We start from the raw sequence: 802 nt of genomic DNA on the forward strand, positions 1-802 counted from the left end.
GTGAACACTTAAAATGTACCAAATGTTGTATATGCTTTTCACAACAGTCCTATAAGTTTCATACCATTATTACTTTAATTTTATAGATGAAGAAACTGAGGCAGGGATAGATCATTTTTCCAATGTTACAGAATAAGAGGCAGGCTCCAGGATTTAAACAAGGCAGCCTGACTGTGAAGTATCTGAGCTAAATCACTACTCTATACTGTGAGGTTTTTTAAAAAATAAAATTTTAGCCGGGCGCAGTGGCTCACGCCTGTAATCCCAGCACTTTGGGAGCCCAAGGCACGTGGATCACTTGAGGTCAGGAGTTCAATACCAGCCTGACCAACGTGGTGAAACCCCATCTCTACTAAAAATACAAAAATTAGCCAGTCGTGGTGGCATGCGTCTGTAGCCCCAGCTACTCGGGAGGCTGAGGCAGGAGAATCGCTTGAAGGGAGGCAAAGGTTGCAGAGCTGAGATCGCGCCACTGCAGTCCAGCCTGGGTGACAGAGCGAGACAGGAAGGAAGGAAGGAAGGAAGGAAGGAAGGAAGGAAGGAAGGAAGGAAGGAAGGAGAAAAAGAAATTGTAAACATTTTTGTTAAACAAATCATCACAAATGTATCTGCTGGGTAACATAAAAATCACAGGTCTCTTAAGAAAGAGATTTTCAGAAGTACTAGATCATCATGTACTAGCACATCACGAAGTCCATCCCCCTGCCTTTAGGCACGTCCACAACTAAATAACTCAGGTCTGGTAAAATGACTCCTAAGAACAAAATCCCAAAACTTCTAGCCACAATTCACTCCAAAGTTT

This window comes from Homo sapiens, chromosome 8, assembly GCF_000001405.40.
Source record: "Homo sapiens chromosome 8, GRCh38.p14 Primary Assembly".
In the NCBI taxonomy this organism is placed as follows: domain Eukaryota; kingdom Metazoa; phylum Chordata; class Mammalia; order Primates; family Hominidae; genus Homo; species Homo sapiens.